This window comes from Homo sapiens, chromosome 11, assembly GCF_000001405.40.
Source record: "Homo sapiens chromosome 11, GRCh38.p14 Primary Assembly".
NCBI classification, from domain to species: Eukaryota; Metazoa; Chordata; class Mammalia; order Primates; family Hominidae; genus Homo; species Homo sapiens.
In genome coordinates, this window is record NC_000011.10 from 580,992 (window position 1) to 598,222 (window position 17,231).

Below are 17,231 nucleotides of genomic sequence, written 5' to 3' on the forward strand. Positions count from 1 at the left end.
TTTTATATTTTTAGTAGAGATGGGGTTTCTCCATGTTGGTCAGGCTGGTCTCAAACTCCCGACCTCAGGTGATCCGCCCGCCTCAGCCTCCCAAAGTGCTGGGATTACAGGCGTGACCAATTTTTTTTTTTTTTTTAGTTAAAAACAAATTTTTATTTTCTGGCCGGGTACAGTGGCCAGCTAGGATCTGGCTTTATGGGTAGCTCTGTAAATGTGAATCATGTGTAAGGCTTACTGGTGAGGGTTGTTCTGTGGGTGATATCTTAGGGCTCACCCTTCACGTGCTGTGGCGGTGGATGTGACACTGGGACACTGGGGTGTGGCCTGTGGGGATACTGCTGAGAGTTGTTCTGTGGGTGATATCTCAGGGCTCACTCTTCACGTGCTGTGGCGGTGGATGTGACACGGGGATGTGGCCTGTGGGGAGAGGTCATAACTCTTCAGAGGGTTCTTTGCAGCCTGGGACAGTTTGGAAGTTGCTTGGCTCTTCTTTCTTTCAGAGCTGAGCTCAATGTGCAGCAATGGATGACGACAGCCTGGATGAGCTTGTGGCCCGGAGCCCAGGGCCGGATGGACACCCACAGGTCGGCCCTGCGGACCCGGCAGGTGACTTTGGTGAGCTGCCTAGCGCCGGGTAGGGGCGTCCCCAGGAGGAGCAGGGTGCCTGGTGTTTCCCTTTGGAGGTCGTCTGTGTGTGTCACTTGTCAACTTTCAGTCTAAAAAAATTATGCTTTGATTTTAAATTGCGGAAGTAGTGTATTGTTTTGTTTTATTTTTAATGCAAACAACACAAATGTTGAACGAAAGGATGTTCCCTTTCCTTGCTTGTGCCCCCACCTTGCCGGCCCTGGGGAAGCCGTTAGCCGTTTGGCAGGTGCTCCTGACGCCTCTATGCCTGTGCAAAGCAACCTGCTCTCTGCTGCATGGTCTTGACGCCGCCCTGCGGCCTGTGTCTCACCCTGGTGTCTAGAAGAAAGCAGCGTGGGCAGCAGTGGGGACTCTGGGGACGACAGTGACAGCGAGCATGGAGATGGCACAGACGGAGAAGACGAGGGGGCGTCTGAGGAGGAAGACCTGGAAGACAGATCTGGTGAGACAGCTGGTGTTCACGCCGGCTCCTGTGTTTCCTCTTGTCGTGATGGGGACAGCCTTTTATAACACATCCTCCGTGAGAGTGCTGTCACCACAGCTGGCCATGTCCCTGCGGTCACCTACGGTGAGGCCTTATATTCAGCTGTGGTGACGGCTCACTTTATTTGTAGTACTTCATTTCTTTTTTTTTTTTTTTTTTGAGACAGGGTGTCGCTCTGTTGCCCAGGCTGGAGTACAGTGGTGCCATCTCAGCTCACTGCAACTTCTGCCTCCCGGGTTCAAGTGATTCTCCTGGCTCAGCCTCGTGAGTAGCTGGGATTACAGGCACGCACCATGACACTTGGCTAATTACTTTTTGTATCTTTAGTAGAGACGGGGTTTCACCATCTGGTCTGGAACTCTTCCTGACCTCAAGTGAGCCGCTGTGCCTGGCCTGTAGTCCTCCTTTTTTTTCTTTTTTGAGACGGAGTCTCGCTCTGTCGCCCAGGCTGAGTGCAGTGGCGCGATCTCGGCTCACTGCAAGCTCTGCCTCCTGGGTTCACACCATTCTCCTGCCTCAGCCTCCCGAGTAGCTGGGACTACAGGCGCCCGCCACCAAGCCTGGCTAATTTTTTGTATTTTTAGTAGAGATGGGGTTTCACCGCGTTAGCCAGGATGGTCTCGATCTCCTGACCTCGTGATCCGCCCACCTCAGCCTCCCAAAGTGCTGGGATTACAGGCGTGAGCCACCGCGCCCGGCCTTTTTTCAAGACGAGCCTGGCCAGCATAGTGAAACCCCCTCTCTACTACAAATACAAAAAATTAGCCGGGTGTGGTGGTAGACGCCTGTAATCCCAGCTACTCGGAAGGCTGAGGCAGGAGAATGGTGTGAACCTAGGAGGTGGAGGTTGCAGTGAGCCGAGATTGTGCCATTGTACTCCAGCCTGAGCGACAGAGCGAGACTCCATCTCAAAGGAAGAAAAAGAAATTCTGGCTGTCTGGGCGCGGTGGCTCACGCCTGTAATCCCAGCACTTTGGGAGGCCGAGGCGGGCGGATCAGGAGGTCAGGAGATCGAGACCATTGTGGCTAACATGGTGAAACCCCGTCTCTACTAAAAATAGAAAAATTAGCCAGTCGTGTTGGCACGCGCCTGTAATCCCAGCTACTTGGGAGGCTGAGGCAGGAGAATTGCTGGAACCCGGGAGTCGGAGGTTGCAGTGAGCCAAGATCGCCACTGCACTCCAGCCTGGGCAACAGAGCGAGACTCTGTCTCAAAAAAAACAAACAAAAAAACCCCACCAAAATTAGCCGGGCGTGGTGGTGCGTGCCTGTAATCCCCACTACTCAGGAGGCTGAGGTTGGAGGATCGCTTGAGCCCAAGAGGTCGAGGCTACAGCGAGCTGAGATCACGCCACCACACTCCAGCCTGGGCCACAGAGCGAGACTCTGTCTCAAAAAGATAAAAAATTCTCAGCTCACTTACAATTGGCTGATGGTTGTGCCCTTGAACTTCTTTTGAGAGAACAATGTTCCAAAGGGCAGGTCTGCGCTGGGTGTGGTGGCCCAGGCCCATGGTCTCAGCTACGCAGGAGGCTGAGGTGGGAGGACCCTTGAGCCCAGGAAGTTGAGGCTGCATTCCAGCCTGGGTGTTGGAGCGAGACGTTATCTCAAACAAAACAAAGGGGAGACAAGTCCGTGGGGTGCGCTGGTGGTACCTCCTTCCTTGTCCCCTGTTGCCATCACCCTCGGTGGTGCACAGCCTGTGAGGCCACCAAGGAGGTGGCCCTGCCCCGGCCCTGCTGTGGTTGCTTCCTCAGAGGGAGGCCGAGCTCAGGCTCAGAACTTTGCCTTTCCACTACTTTCCTTCTGACATCACCCTTGGGCTGGAAAATCCATGGTCCTCAAGTGGCTACTGTGATCTGTGTGTAGCAGTCTTTCTGCATAGCCCTGTGGTTATCAGGGTTAGAATGTTCCAGAAAGGTAACACTCCTGTTTGAGACTGTTGGTAAGGGAATGGCACTCATGGCCTGAGCCAATGTGTGTTGGCCGTGTCCTTCCAGAGTTCGATGTTTAGCTCTGCACGTGCTCTGCGGGTCTGCTTGGGTCTGCAGGTCCTGAGGGGCTTCCCTGCTCCCTCCCAGCATCAGGTTAGGGCTCTGGTTCATCTGTAGTAGGTCTCCGCACCAGTTCTGGCGTTGCCAGGGCTGAAAGTGTGGGCCGTCAGGGCCGCCAGGTGACTCTGTCCTTGAGATCCTGAGGGCACATTGGATGCCAGAGACTCTGGGTTGGGGGCTGGAGTGAAGGTGGCGGGAGCCTCAGCAGGGCCCCCACCGTGTCTGCGCTCACCTTCTAGCAGCAAACAGTGCGCCAAGCAGCAGCTGGGGGACAGGGTCATAGACACTGAGAGCTGTGGGCGTCCAGGGGAGGGGCAGGCTCCATGGACCTGGGGTGGGGAGAGGCTTCTGGAGAATCCAAGCTGCCACCTGAGGGGCAGGAGGAGGTGGCTGGGCAGAGGCGGCAGGCCAGGACGGGGGAGCTGTGAAGAGACAGGTTTATGGAGACCTGGAGCCCCTGAGGGCTGAGCGCCCCGAAGGAAGGGGATGGGAAGGCACTGGAGAGGTGTTGGTATAGCCACTGTGAACACTTCTTTTTATTTCTCCAGGACCTTTTTTTTTTTTTTTTTTTTTTTTTGAGACCGAGTTTCACTCTTGTTGCCCAGGCTGGAGTGTAGTGGCGCAATCTCGGCTCACTGCAGCCTCTGCCTCCCGGGTTCAAGCGATTCTCCTGCCTCAGCCTCTCGAGTAGCTCGGATTACAGGCGCGCACCACCATGCCTGGGTAATTTTTGTATTGTTATTCGAGATGGGGTTTCACCATGTTGGCCAGGCTGGTCTTGAACTCCTGACCTCAGGTGATCCACCCGCCTTGGCCTCCCAAAGTGCTGGGATGACAGGCATGAGCCACCGCGCCTGGCCAGGACTGTTTTTTAAACATGAAGAAGTAGCCAGTGGGTCCCTAACTGGTGGGAAACATGTTGAGGAGGGAGTTATTCCACGAGCAACACCCACGTTGCTGGGGCTTGGGAGCTTTCGTTCTCATTGCTTTTCCCACCCTGGTGTTTCCTGCTGGAAATCACTTGTTACACTGCCCTTTCCAGCTTGAGGTAGTAGCCCTTTCCAGCTTGAGGTAGTAGCCCTTTCCAGCTTGAGGTAGTAGCCCTTTCCAGCTTGAGGTAGTAGCCCTTTCCAGCTTGAGGTAGTAGCCCTTTCCAGCTTGAGGTAGTAGCCCTTTCCAGCTTGAGGTAGTAGCCCTTTCCAGCTTGAGGTAGTAGCCCTTTCCAGCTTGAGGTAGTAGCCCTTTCCAGCTTGAGGTAGTAGCCCTTTCCAGCTTGAGGTAGTAGCCCTTTCCAGCTTGAGGTAGTAGCCCTTTCCAGCTTGAGGTAGTAGCTCTTTCCAGCTTGAGGTAGTAGCCCTTTCCAGCTTGAGGTAGTAGCCCTTTCCAGCTTGAGGTAGTAGCCCTTTCCAGCTTGAGGTAGTAGCCCTTTCCAGCTTGAGGTAGTAGCCCTTTCCAGCTTGAGGTAGTAGCCCTTTCCAGCTTGAGGTAGTAGCTCTTCAACTCTTTTTTTTTTTTTTTTTTGAGGTCGAGTCTCGCTCTGTTGCCCAGGCTGGAGTGCAGCAGCACGATCTCAGTTCACTGCAAGCTCTGCGTCCCAGGTTCACGCCATTCTCCTGCCTCAGCCTCCCAAGTAGCTGGGACTATAGGCACCTGCCACCGCGTCCAGCTAATTTTTTGTATATTTATTTATTTATTTATTTTTGAGACGGAGTCTTGCTCTGTTGCCCAGGCTGGAGTGCAATCGTGCAGTCTAGGCTCACTGCAACCTCTGCTTCCCAGGTTCAAGCGATTCTCCTGTCTCAGCCTCCCAAGTAGCTGGGATTACAGGCACACGCCACCACACCCGGCTATTTTTGTATTTTTTGTAGAGACGGGGTTTCACCATGTTGGCCAGGCTGGTCTCAAACCCCTGACCTCAGGTGATCCACCTGCCTCAGCCTCCCAAAGTACTAGGATTACAGGCTTGAGCCACCACGCCTGGCAATTTTTTGTACTTTTAGTAGAGACGGGGTTTCACTGTTAGCCAGGATGGTCTCTATCTCCTGACCTCGTGATCTGCCCACCTCAGCCTCCCAAAGATGCCGGGATTACAGGCGTGAGCCACCACGCCCGGCCAGTAGCTCTTCAACTCTTAACATGAAAGATGGGAACTTAAAACTCTTCTGCTGCCTCCCTCGCAGCTCTCACTTCTCCCAGCCTCTTTAACAGTGTAAATATTTCTGTTCTGGGTGTGTCTTTCCCTTTGCCAGATAACAGAGGGTCCTGGCAGTGATGCCCCAGTGCTGGCAGGGTCCTGCCCACATGCGTGGAACCGGGAGGGTTTGGAGGGTTTCGGGCCTAGGAGGAACCTGCCACCCACACCGAGTCTGCTCCTCTTCCCATGTGAACTTGTGTTCTGTTTACTTTAGCGTTGTTTCATTGGAGTTTGGTACAAAGAAGATAGCAGTGCACGTATGGGCTCTGCCGTGTTGAACTCGGAGCATCTCCCTGCTCCCTGCTGGTCAAGGTGTAGCCTCAGAACCACTCCGAATTGGCCAGAACGGTTGTGGTTAGTGGCCCAGTTAGGAGTCTGTGCTCTGCCTCCCACAGGGAGGAGGAACAGGCAACCTCAGAAGGAAGTCCCTTCCGCGGGCAGAGGGTTTGTGGTCCTCATGCTTTGAGAAGGGGGCGTTGGAAATGGGGGCTGCTGTCAGGGGGCTGCTGCACTGAGGGGCTCGCTTGGAGGCTCTGAAATGAACCTGATGGTCTCTGGGACCTGTGCTAGGCCCCAGGGCTGCCCTGCCTCTCGAGGTCTGCCTCAGCCCCAGGCTCAGCTTAGAGGAGCTGGTCTGGCACTCAGGACGCTCAGCTTCCCGCCCCTCGGTGCAGGGCACCCGAGGCTTCAGGTTAGGTGCAGGGCAGGGCTCCCAGGGTTGTGGATGTGCTGAGCGTGGACGTGGAGGTAAGTGGCAGGAGCCTGCGGGGAGGTGGGCTGTGCATTGCCGACCTGGTGTCCTGAGCGCAGCCTGGGCCCGCTTGCCTCCAGTGCCGCGGTTCACGCTGCCCATCCTGCTTGCACCAGCTGGCATGTTTCCTCTCCAGGTTCCGAGGATTCTGAAGACGACGGGGAGACATTGCTGGAGGTAGCGGGTACTCAGGGGAAACTGGAAGCCGCTGGCTCTTTCAATTCTGATGATGATGCAGAGAGCTGCCCAATCTGTCTCAACGCATTCAGAGACCAGGCCGTGGGGACGCCGGAGAACTGTGCCCATTACTTCTGCCTGGACTGCATTGTCGAATGGTCCAAGGTGAGTTCACCTCTGGTTGGGTGCTTCCTCCCTTCAGGATGGCCTCCCTGTTTATAGGTGACCCAGCCTGTGTTCAGCCTCTTGTGAGGTTCTAGTTGTCTGCTCTGCGGCTGACCCTGGGGCCACAGGATTGAGTCTGGCTTGGTCTTTGCTTTGTGAGCACCATGGCTCTTGGGGGTGTGGGTGAGCTCATGTGAGGCGTTTGTGGTGTATTGGTCAGGGGCAGGAGAGAGGATGGCCGTGGGTCTCCCAGGACCAGCTGCAGAAACCCTGGTTGACATAGGGGCCATCTTGGCCTGCAAGCCAGAGGCAGGTGTGCTGTGGTGCGTGGTCACTTTGCTGCCTTGACATGTGGTTCTCTCAGTTGATACAGAAAACACCGGTACGATTTGGCATTCATTCACAATAACTGGCATCAAAAGAGACTGTCCTTAAAACAGGTGAATAGAGTTTACCGTAAACGTGCAGTGTATTTTATATTTCAAAATGAACTTTTAGAAGCAGTCAGCTCCCCCCTCCCTTTCTGAATATTGTGAAAAATGTCAGAAAAGGAGAGCTTGCAGTCTGAGGATGACTCATGAGTCCCCGACCTCTGTACTCAGGGCTCAGCTCCGACACCACTACCTCTTGACTCCCTCCCCTCCCTGCGATTGCACCAGCAGCCCGTGCTGTCCCCGGCTCTCTTCAGGACCGTGACCTCACCCAGGGTTCCTAGTGACTGGGTCCTCCTGTTCTGTTTCACTGAGTAGCTGAAAACTGCCTGTATGCTTAGTTTGAAGCAGGACCCAGACATTCCTCATGCTGCTGGTGGTGGCAGGCTGTGATGTCACCCAAAGTCTGGCTCTGGTACTTCCTGTTCCTGTTCTGTTGTGGTGGGTCCACAGCACACAGTAGATTCAGACTTAGACTTTTCTTTTTTTTTTTGTTTTTTTGAGACGGAGTTTTGTTCTTGTTGCCCAGGCTGGAGTGCAATGGCGCGATCTTGGCTCACCACAACCTCCACCTTCCGGGTTCAAGCGATTCTCCTGCCTCAGCCTCCCGCGTAGCTGGAACTGTAGGTGCCCACCACCACGCCAGGGCAATTTTGTATTTTTAGTAGAGACAGGGTTTCACCATGTTGGTCAGGCTGGTCTTGAACTCCCAACCTCAGGTGATCCACCCGTCTCGGCCTCCCAAACTGCTGGGATTACAGGCGTGAGCCACCACGCCCGGCCATTTTTATTTTTATTTTTTTTTGTAGATTTTTCTTTTGGCAAGTGAAGCTTTCATTTAAATTGAGGAACAAGATACAGTGTTTGCTATGTATTTTCTGTCTGGCATTTATTAGATAAATATTGGGCAGAAGAGGGCATTTGCAAACAAGTTTGTCAGTATAGAAATCTTACAAATGGAACCGGGTGCAGTGGCTCACGCCTGTAATCTCAGCACTTCGGGAGGCCAAGGTGGGTGGATCATGAGGTCAAGAGATCAAGACCATCCTGGCCAACATGGTGAAACCCTGTGTTTACTAAAAATACAAAAATTATCCGGGCGTGGTACCACGTACCTGTAGTCCCAGCTACTCGGGAGGCTGAGGCAGGAGAATCACTTGAACCTGGGAGTTGGAGGTTGCAGTGAGCTGAGATTGCACCACTGCACTCCAGCCCGGCGACAGAGCAAGACACTGTCTCAAAAAAAAAAAAAGGAGAACTCTTACAGATGAACTGTTAAAATGCTGCTTAGCGAGATTATTGGATACGAGGTTAATAAAGATTAAAATTGTGTTTAGAAATAAGTCATAAGGAGACGTGTAAGACATTTAAAGAGCTTTTCTAACACAGCCGTGACTGAAGCAAGGCCCCTTCCCTTTCGAGACATCTTGCTCCATAGAGAGGTTGAGGATGCTGATTCCGTCCTTCCCAGCAGGAGTTCAGGGTGCTTGATGTGTTGTGAAGTCAACACAGGAGGACAGGAAGGCACCAAGAATTGCCAAGATAGCTTTGAAAAGGGGAGAAATTGCCTACTGGATATTATGATTTATAAAACTACAGGGATTGAACTGGAACCGGTCCAGGAATGGAAACCAGTCCCAGGGGTTTTGCAGGGGCTTAGAAGAGGCCTGGACACACTCGGGGGGGCAGGAGGCGCCTGTGGGGCAGGTCAGCTGGGGGCTGCTCACAGCACACACACGATGCCGGACGGAGTCAAGATCTCGGACTAGAAAGCAAAGCTGAACCTTTGAAAAGAAAGCATGGGTAGCTCTGTGATAAGAAAAGAGAAGGATTTCCTAAACAGTCTGAGAGAGTGTCTGCAAACGGGCACGGAGCATGTCAGGCTCAGCCTGAGAGGGTGTCTGCAAACGGGCACAGAGCGTGCGGGGCTCAGCCTGAGAGAGAGTCTGCAAACGGGCACGGAGCGTGCGGGGCTCAGCCTGAGAATGTCTGCAAACGGGCATGGAGCGTGCAGGGTTCAGCCTGAGAGGGTGTCTGCAAACGGGCACGGAGCGTGCGGGGCTCAGCCTGAGAGTCTGCAAACGGGCACGGAGCGTGTGGGGCTCAGCCTCAGAGAGTGTCTGTAAACGGGCATGGAGCGTGCGGGGCTCAGCCTGAGAATGTCTGCAAACGGGCATGGAGCGTGCGGGGCTCAGCCTGAGAATGTGTGCAAACGGGCACGGAGCGTGCAGGGTTCAGCAGCAGGGCTCCTCTGGGAACCCCAGTCCCACCATGGGGGGTGCTGCCGCACACCCCTGGAGCTGGTCGGTAGGAGGGCACCCCAGACTCCAGAGGTGGGGGTGTCACACGTACAACCTCAAAGGCCATGTATTCCTGGGTGTTTACCCAAGAGAAACAGGAGTGCGCCCACACGAAGACACGTCCATCGATGTTCACCACGGGGGAATGGACACGTGGACCATTTGTGTGGCAGTGTCTCTTCAGTGCTAGGGAGGGCAGAATGCCATGAGCAGAGTCCATGCTGCGGCTCCAATCCTGAGAAACCCCAGGGAAGACGTACCTAACCACACCCCTGAGACAACAGGAAGAAACAGTCAGGTGGGAGAGGGAAGGGCCCGAAGACCAGGGTGGGTACTCCACAGGTTGTATATTTGTCAGAGCCGATTGAATTATTCAGTTAAAATCAGTGTTTTCTTGTGTATGGTGTACCTTAATAAAGCCAACATAAAGATCTTATGTGGGTCAGAACACTATTAATAAAGGCAAAAATAAATTTGCAACGTATACCTGACTGTTATCCATACTATGAAAGTAAATTTTTTTTTGAGATGGAGTTTGGCTCTTGTCACCCAAGCTGGAGTGCAGTGGCGCCATCTCGGCTCACCGCAACCTCAGCCTCTCGGGTTCAAACGATTCTCCTGCCTCAGCCTCCCGAGTAGCTGGGGTTACAGGTATGCGCCACCACACCTAGCTAATTTTGTATTTTTAGTAGAGGCGGGGTTTCTCTGTGTCAGTCAGGCTGGTCTCGAACTCCCGACCTCAGGTAATCTGCCTGCCTCGGCCTCCCAAAGTGCTGGGATTACAGGTATGAGCCCCTGCTCCCGGCCTATGAAAAGAAATTCTAAAAATTTACTAGTGAATGTCCAACAATCTTTTGGAAAAGTTAGCAGAAGACTTGAACAGGCTCGCCGCAGAGGGGCCTGTGCACAATGCCGCCCCCACGCCTGTCCTTCCTCCCTTTATTGTTCTTACTTGTCACTGAGATGCTACGCGTTCATGGAGCTGCTCTTTCCTCCCCGCTAGGGCTGGCAGCTCTGCAGGGAGGCAAGGCTCGCTGTGCTCCCTCCACTGCCGTGTTGCCAGCAGCTTAGTGGAGGGCCTGGCGCATGGAGGCATTTAGCAGATACTTGATTTTCAGTGTAAAAGAATTTTTGATCTCTAAGTGAAAGTGATTGACAAGATTCTGATCCTGTTTTTATTTCTCACAGAATGCCAATTCCTGTCCAGTTGATCGAACTCTATTTAAGTGCATTTGTATTCGAGCTCAATTTGGTGGTAAAATCTTAAGAAAGGTGAGTGTGGACGCTGCCGTGGAGGCCCCAGCCGTGCTTCTATCCCGGCCCTGTGGGACAGAGCATGCTTTCCAAAGTGGGCTTGCTCTCCTGAAATGAGGGTTGGTTAAATGCTTCATAGAAATCAACTCAAGTGCCCCTTGTGGCCATGAGCCCTGTCTGGGGGGTTTGGGGTCTGGGTTGGGGGTTAGAGGCAGAGATATTGCCAGCTCCTGGGATATCCCTTCGACCCCACCCCTGTACCCATCACATCTGGGAGCAGTGCTCTGGCCCGTCTGCTCGGAGCTCTTTATTTTTGAGACACCATCTTGCTCTTTCACCCAGGCTGGAGTGCAGTAGCACAATCACAGCTTACTACAGCCTCAATCTCCTGGGCTCAAGCAATCCTCATGCCTCAGCCTCCTGAGTAGCTGGGTCCACAGGCATGAGCTACCACACCCGGCTGTTTTTTTTTTTTTTTTTCCCGAGACAAGAGTCTCGCTCTTTTGCCCAGGCTGGAGTGCAGTGGCACAATCTCGGCTCACTGCAAGCTCTGCCTCCTGGGTTCACGCCATTGTCCTGCCTCAGCCTCCCGAGTAGCTGGGACTACAGGCACCCGCCACCACGCCCGGCTAATTTTTTGTATTTTTAGTAGAGACGGGGTTTCACTGTGTTAGCCAGGATGGTCTCGATCTCCTGACCTCGTGATCCACCCACCTCGGCCTCCCAAAGTGCTGGGATTACAGGCGTGAGCCAACGTGCCCAGCCTTTTTTTTTTTTTTTTTTAAGAGGCAGATCTTGCTCTTCCGTGGCAGTCCAGCACCTGCTGCCTCGCCCTACTGCGGCCCACTTTGGGGCCGCAGGGCTTACCCGCTCCTTTCCGTGCATCATACTTTGTTTTCTGTTGAATACTTTCCTCTTAGATCACCACCCTGAGATGGTAGAAAACATAAAAATCCCTGTGTACACGTGGAGGGAGACCCTCTGGGCCTGTGGAGCCCAAATATGAATCTAAGGCAATGGGTGGATTCTGGATTAACTGCGTTTCACGCTGGGAAGTGACTGCGGGGAGTTTGGGTCCTGTGTGGTGGTGACCGACGATTCTGTCCTAGATCCCAGTGGAGAACACCAAAGCGAGCGAGGAGGAGGAGGACCCGACCTTCTGTGAGGTGTGCGGCAGGAGCGACCGTGAGGACAGGCTTTTGCTCTGCGACGGCTGCGATGCGGGGTAAGGGACGGTTGGGACTGGCACACGTGCCCTGCTGCGTGCAAGGCGGGCCAGGCGCAGGAGGGATGCAGAGCCTCTTCGCTCTGTGAAGTCTGAGTCCCAGCACCTGGAGCTGTGCTCACCACCCTCAGCAGCGCGGTTCAGTCCTGCGGGCCTTCCTGTTACACTCATTTACACTTCAGTCTTTCCCCAAAAAACATTCTGAGGCTGCCCACAGAAGTGCAGGTAATACATCAAGACAAAAAAGAAAACAGCCGGACAGGAGGCTGTGGGGCTGGTCAGCCAGAGGGTGGGACGTGTCCTGGTCCCGGCCTTTGTGGGGGAGGGGTGGCTATGCCTGCGTCCATCATTCTGGCTGCCTTGGTCCCTCACCTTTCACCCTGCTCCTCCTTCACCCTCTGGTGCATGTCCAGTTATGCTGCACCTGCTGCTCTCCCTGGCACAGCTGAGAGCGCCTGCTCTGGCCCTGCGTGGCCCTGGCTTCCCGGGAGCCTGTGACACTTGTCTCCTCATCCCTGCTTTGTGTCGTTGGCTGTAAGCAGATGCCCCCTTCCCCGTTAGCCTCCTGCGAGGGGCTTTCCCTGTTGATTTGAATAATTTTTCTGCTGTGAAATTATGGAGAGAGGATTCTGGAAATCTTTCCCTTGTTGAAAGAACCAGTGAGGCTGCTCGATCTGGGGCCTTCTCTTGGGTGGGAAGTAGCTGGGTCAGGGTTTGGACTACGGAACAGCCGGAGCCAGGAGGCCTTGACGTGCCGCGGCTGGAGCCGCACCGAGGATGGGCTCCTGGTGAAGGCCTTTGCTCTGTGGCGGGTGGTCCCGGTCGTCCCAGCTTTGACTCGTCCTTGAGCACAGCCGCTTGTGCCCCCACCTGTCACCTCGTTGTTAGCCACATACCCAGGCCTCTGCTCCACTCACGCTGTTGTTGGTGCAGGAATCGCTGGCTGTCCTTTTGCAGACACTGCAGGGGCCTCCTTGGGGGTCCTGCAGGCGGCCACCACGTTTGTCTCATCGTCAGTTCGCCCTCCTCCTCATGGCCTGTGGGAGTACAGGGGCCTTGCAGTGCGCTCCGCCGGCCCTTCCAGGTCCCCAGCCCCTGCTTGGTCCTGCCCTCTGCTCCCAGCAGCCGGGAGATAGCCACGCCTCTGCTCACATTCGCAGACACCTCGCCGTCCCTCCTTTCTCACGAGTCTGAGCCTAAATCCATGTTTTGTGAGTTTCCTGAGTGCTCTGCCCTGACGGTCCTCACCTCCTCAGGGTTCCTGGGAGCGTCTGCTGCCAGTTGCCCCGGCAGGCACTGAGTTGGTTGCTGTGAGTCTGAAGGGCAGGGCTGCTGCCTTGACTATCCCAGCAGCCTGGTCATTGCAGCCCTGGGCACAGTGCTTATTGGCTGTTGATTACTGACTTACACCGTGAATATATGCAGAATGCTTAAAAAGAAAAAAAAAGGTGGAGGGGTGGCTCAGCACTCCATGCCCATGTGTAGGACTGGTCCTCTTTTGTCCTCTTTACCTGTGGCTGCGGCCACTCTGGGCATGTGAAGGAAGGGCCTGGGCTGGCCTGGAATCGCTGGACACGGCCTGAGAGACCATGGCATGATAGACCTGGTCCTGGTCGCCACAGGCACCGTCTTGGGCAAGGCCCTCATCGCAGGCCAGGGCCGTGAGCCTTCTAGTGGCTCGAGGGCAGCTGGTAGGCCAGTTTTCACGCACAAAGCCTGGTTTTCCTGTTAGCTTTTATTTTACTCATTTACTTATTTTTTTCAAGGCAGAGTCTTGGTCCGTCATCCAGGCTGGAGTGCAGTGGCGCCATCTTGGCTCACTGCAACCTCTGCAGCGAGTCACTGCAACCTCTGCAGCGAGTCACTGCAACCTCGGTTCAAGGTTCAAGTGACTGTCCTGCCTCAGCCTCCTCAGTAGCTGGGATTACAGGCACATGCCACCACACCTGGCTAATTTTTGTATTTTATGGAGAAACGGGGTTTCACCATGTTGGCCAGACTGGTGTGGAACTCCTGGGCTCAATTGATCCGCCCACCTCGGCCTCCCAAAGTGCTGAGATTAAAGGCGTGAGCCACTATGCCCAACCTAGTTGTAGTACCTTCTAACAAGGCTCTTGGGAATGTTTACAGCTTAATTAAAATTTTTTATTATAAATTACATTTACAAACTTGATATATTGATTTTCTTTCTACCTACACTACTTGAATTACTTGGCAGATAAAACAACGCAAGTACATAAAAACCCTGGTGGATCTAAAACATTAAAACTGATCAATATAACGATTCTCATACTTCTAAACATTTCCATACTGTTACAATTTGCAGTCTGCCAAATTTTCAGTTAAGTCTGACTTAAAAATCACACGTCTAAAATTACTCAGTTCCTCATGTCAAAATGGAATCACAGTAGGCCGAGGCGGGTGGATCACCTGAGCTCAGGAGTTCGAGACCAGCCTGGCCAACATGGCGAAACCCCGTCTCTACTAAAAATAAAAAAATTGGCCGGGCGTGGTGGTTCACACCTGTAACCCCCGATCCTTGGGAGGCTGAGGCACGCGAATACCTTGAACCTGGGAGGCGGAGGTTGCAGTGAGCCGAGATTGCGCCACTGCACTCCAGAGAGACTAAAAACAAAAAACAAAAAAACACTATCTGTAGATACACTGACATTACATGAAATAAGATACAGTTTCTGATTTTTTTCTTTTTTAAGTTACAATCTAATTTAAAAGTGTGTGTTCACCAGGGAGGCAGTGCAGGGGCTCACTGAGGCCTGTTAGGTGTGGCCCTCCCCTCCCTGGGCAGGTCAGATCTGAGCACCTTCAGCTGCAGGGCCACCAAGCTCCCTGTGCAGGTGGAGCCATGGGTGCCTGCACCGTAGCTGGGCAGGTCTCGGCAGCCCTCCTTGTCCCCGTGCTCGTATTTAAACTTGCAGCCAATCTCCTCTTCTCGGGGATGAGTGTGGGGGACACAGGCCTGGCCTGGCTGTGGATGGGCGCCTGCCAGGCGCAGAGGGGCCTTCTGCTCGGGCCTCAGGTGAGCCGCAGCCTCCTCCAAGGCTGCTGGAGCTCAGTGGTGGGAAAGTGGGTTGGACGTTTTCAGACTTTGGAATTCTTTGAAAGAAGGTACTGCTCATCCTTGCCTTTGTCCCCAGAGAACTTGTATAAGAACAGATGTTAGGGGACCTAGTTAGGCTCTTGGAGTGCCCCCACCCGCCGCCCCCCTCTGCTGGCCTGGCAGGGCGTGTCGTGTGCCCGGGGCAGTCGGCTTCTCTTCCTGCATGCCTGTCTCCTGTCTTTCTTGTATGGCCCTAGCAAGGGCCACACAGCAGACACCTTCTCATAGGTGCAGGACTCTTGGGAGAATGGGTTTACTCTTGTTTAACTCGTATCTTAGATCCTAGAACAGTTCAGCCCGTGGTAAGTGGTAGTTAAGTTCAGTTGAATTCAGGCTCAATTTTCAGGGAAATCATCAGCTTGACTCCCTTCCCTTGATTGTTTTTGCCTTACTCAGGGCTGTCTGGGGTCTTTGGGATGAAGTTTCAAGGATCTTTGCATAGACTCCCGAGCCTCGGCTGCTTGGAGGGGCACATATACCTCATACCAGTGGCAGCACTTCCCAAACTACCTTCCCAGAAGGCTCGATAGAAACAATTAAAACATAGTTTCCTTTCAGCAAAGAAACCTTCGCCTTCTTCAGTGGCTTGGTGTGAGGTGCAATGTTTGAAAACCCGGGAGTGAGGGTGGGGGAGACAAGCTCTCTGGGAAGGGGGCCCCACAGGCAGCACCTACCGCAGGAGCTCAGTGTGAGCCACTGTCGGCCTGTGGGTGTGTGTCGTGTGTCGCAGCCAGCTCAGTTGCTGTCAGGATACCACAGGCTGGGCAGCGTAAACCGCAGGTCTTCCTTTTCTTGGTTTTGGAAACTAGACATCTGAGATACCAGCAGGCCTGGTTCCTGGGGAGGCCCCCTTCCTGACTTACAGACGGCCGCCTCCCCGCTGTGACCTCACCTGGCCTTCCCTCATCTAAGGACACCAATCCTATAACCTTAAAGGTTCCATGTCTATCTGCTGTCACATTGGGGGTTAGGGCTTCTTATGAATTTTGGAGGGATGTGGGTCAGCCCATAACAGAATGCATCGCAGACTTGGGTGCCATCGGAGGCCTGCTTTGTGGTCCCCTCACTTGAGGAGGTTTGGGAAAGCTGTGAGCAGCACCCGGATGCTTTGGCCCTGCTCTCTCCTGTAGGTACCACATGGAATGCTTGGACCCCCCTCTCCAGGAGGTGCCGGTGGACGAGTGGTTCTGCCCGGAATGTGCTGCGCCTGGTGTTGTCCTTGCCGCTGGTAAGGACACTGCTCCCGTCCCAAGGCGCACATGGGCCTTCTCACTGTCCACTCTGCGGTCCCCGGGGTTAGGTTTGGCTGCTGTGTGGGGAGGACATCTAGGGCTGTCTCATGGGGGTTAGGGTTGGCTGCGGTGTCGGGAGGACATCTAGGGCTGTCTCGGGCTCGTCTTCTCGGGGATGTGTGTGGGGTCCATTGGCTGGGGGGTTCCGGTCCTCAGTGTTAGGAGCACCAGGCTCCATGAGCAGCCCTGGGTCCTGTGCACAGGTCAGCCCGAGCCAGGGCTGCTACTTGGCCGGCAGCCACAGGGGGAGCCGTTGGGGGAGGCGTGTGGCCTGTGAGTGTGGCACATCAGCCCTGGTGGTTCTTCCCAGATGCGGGTCCCGTGAGTGAGGAGGAGGTCTCCCTGCTCTTGGCTGATGTGGTGCCCACCACCAGCAGGCTTCGGCCTCGAGCAGGTAGGACCCGGGCGATAGCCAGGACACGGCAGAGTGAGAGAGTGAGAGCAACCGTGAACCGGAACCGGATCTCCACGGCCAGGAGGGTCCAGGTGGGTGGCCCAGCCCTGACGCCAGTCGTAGAACCCCAGCTGCCCAGAGTGATCTCGGCAGTCTGGGTGGGTGGGAGGGGCGTCGTCGGCACTGTGGGGTCCGCCCGGCCCCGGTGGCTCATGTTGTTCGGCCTGCTGAGGGGAGCAGATGAGTGCACCCCAGGGTGACCCCAGCGGCCCAAGGTGGGGCTGCCTCTGAGCACCTGGAGCCAGGTATTGAGGGGCAGGTGAAGCCTGGCCCTGGCGGGGTGGGGGCTCTAGGAAACCCCCCTTGTTCCCCAGGCCCCATGCCAGCACCGCTCCCTCTAGGCACCTGTGAGCACCTTCCTCTTGCACTGGACCTGGTGCTCGGTTTCAGGTGCTCCCTGCAGCCTCCGTCCTGACAGCAGCCTTTCCCTGGGCATTGGACAAGCAGGAGGGTCTGGGCTGTGGGCATGTGGTGTGTGCCCTTGGCAAGCCTAACGCTGAATTTGGAGTGGACTGAGAAGGCTGGGTGGGGAGGGGGCTGTCCCTGTCCAGTGCCCTGCCCAGTACCTGCGCCACCCCCGCCACAGTGACTGGTGCCCTCTCGTGTGCCCCTGGGATGCTGTCTGTCCCCCACCCGCCTTGCCCCCGTGGGAGTGCTTGGCAGCCTCTGGCAGGGGAGAGGAAG

General features: G+C 54.7%; 1 protein-coding gene across 15 annotated transcripts in view, besides 3 other annotated features; it reads left to right on the forward strand.

Moving 5' to 3' along the window:
- The window catches only part of PHRF1 (PHD and ring finger domains 1), a 35,753-nt gene that overhangs the window by 4,522 nt on the left and 14,000 nt on the right, over window positions 1-17,231 (forward strand). For 4 of the 15 annotated variants that reach the window (NM_001286581.2, NM_020901.4, XM_011520236.4 and 1 more), the window contains exons 2-8: window positions 501-615; window positions 971-1,090; window positions 6,268-6,473; window positions 10,393-10,476; window positions 11,568-11,683; window positions 15,932-16,029; window positions 16,404-16,579. In NM_001286581.2, the coding sequence (NP_001273510.1) occupies window positions 522-615; window positions 971-1,090; window positions 6,268-6,473; window positions 10,393-10,476; window positions 11,568-11,683; window positions 15,932-16,029; window positions 16,404-16,579 (894 nt within the window). In that variant the 5' untranslated portion in view covers window positions 501-521. The remainder of the gene's footprint in view (window positions 1-500; window positions 616-970; window positions 1,091-6,267; window positions 6,474-10,392; window positions 10,477-11,567; window positions 11,684-15,931; window positions 16,030-16,403; window positions 16,580-17,231) is intronic. The other 11 variants (XM_005253025.6, NM_001286582.2, XM_047427342.1 and 8 more) reach the window with 4 other exon arrangements.
- Window positions 2,772-3,273: an enhancer, noted in NCBI's record as "H3K4me1 hESC enhancer chr11:583763-584264 (GRCh37/hg19 assembly coordinates)". NCBI's record gives its function as "activates a minimal SCP1, AML or CMV promoter by ChIP-STARR-seq in primed H9 embryonic stem cells {active_cell/tissue: H9 hESC(primed)}" and the evidence as "EXISTENCE:reporter gene assay evidence [ECO:0000049][PMID:30033119]".
- Window positions 3,274-3,773: an enhancer, noted in NCBI's record as "H3K4me1 hESC enhancer chr11:584265-584764 (GRCh37/hg19 assembly coordinates)". NCBI's record gives its function as "activates a minimal SCP1, AML or CMV promoter by ChIP-STARR-seq in primed H9 embryonic stem cells {active_cell/tissue: H9 hESC(primed)}" and the evidence as "EXISTENCE:reporter gene assay evidence [ECO:0000049][PMID:30033119]".
- Window positions 14,510-15,009: an enhancer, noted in NCBI's record as "H3K4me1 hESC enhancer chr11:595501-596000 (GRCh37/hg19 assembly coordinates)". NCBI's record gives its function as "activates a minimal SCP1, AML or CMV promoter by ChIP-STARR-seq in primed H9 embryonic stem cells {active_cell/tissue: H9 hESC(primed)}" and the evidence as "EXISTENCE:reporter gene assay evidence [ECO:0000049][PMID:30033119]".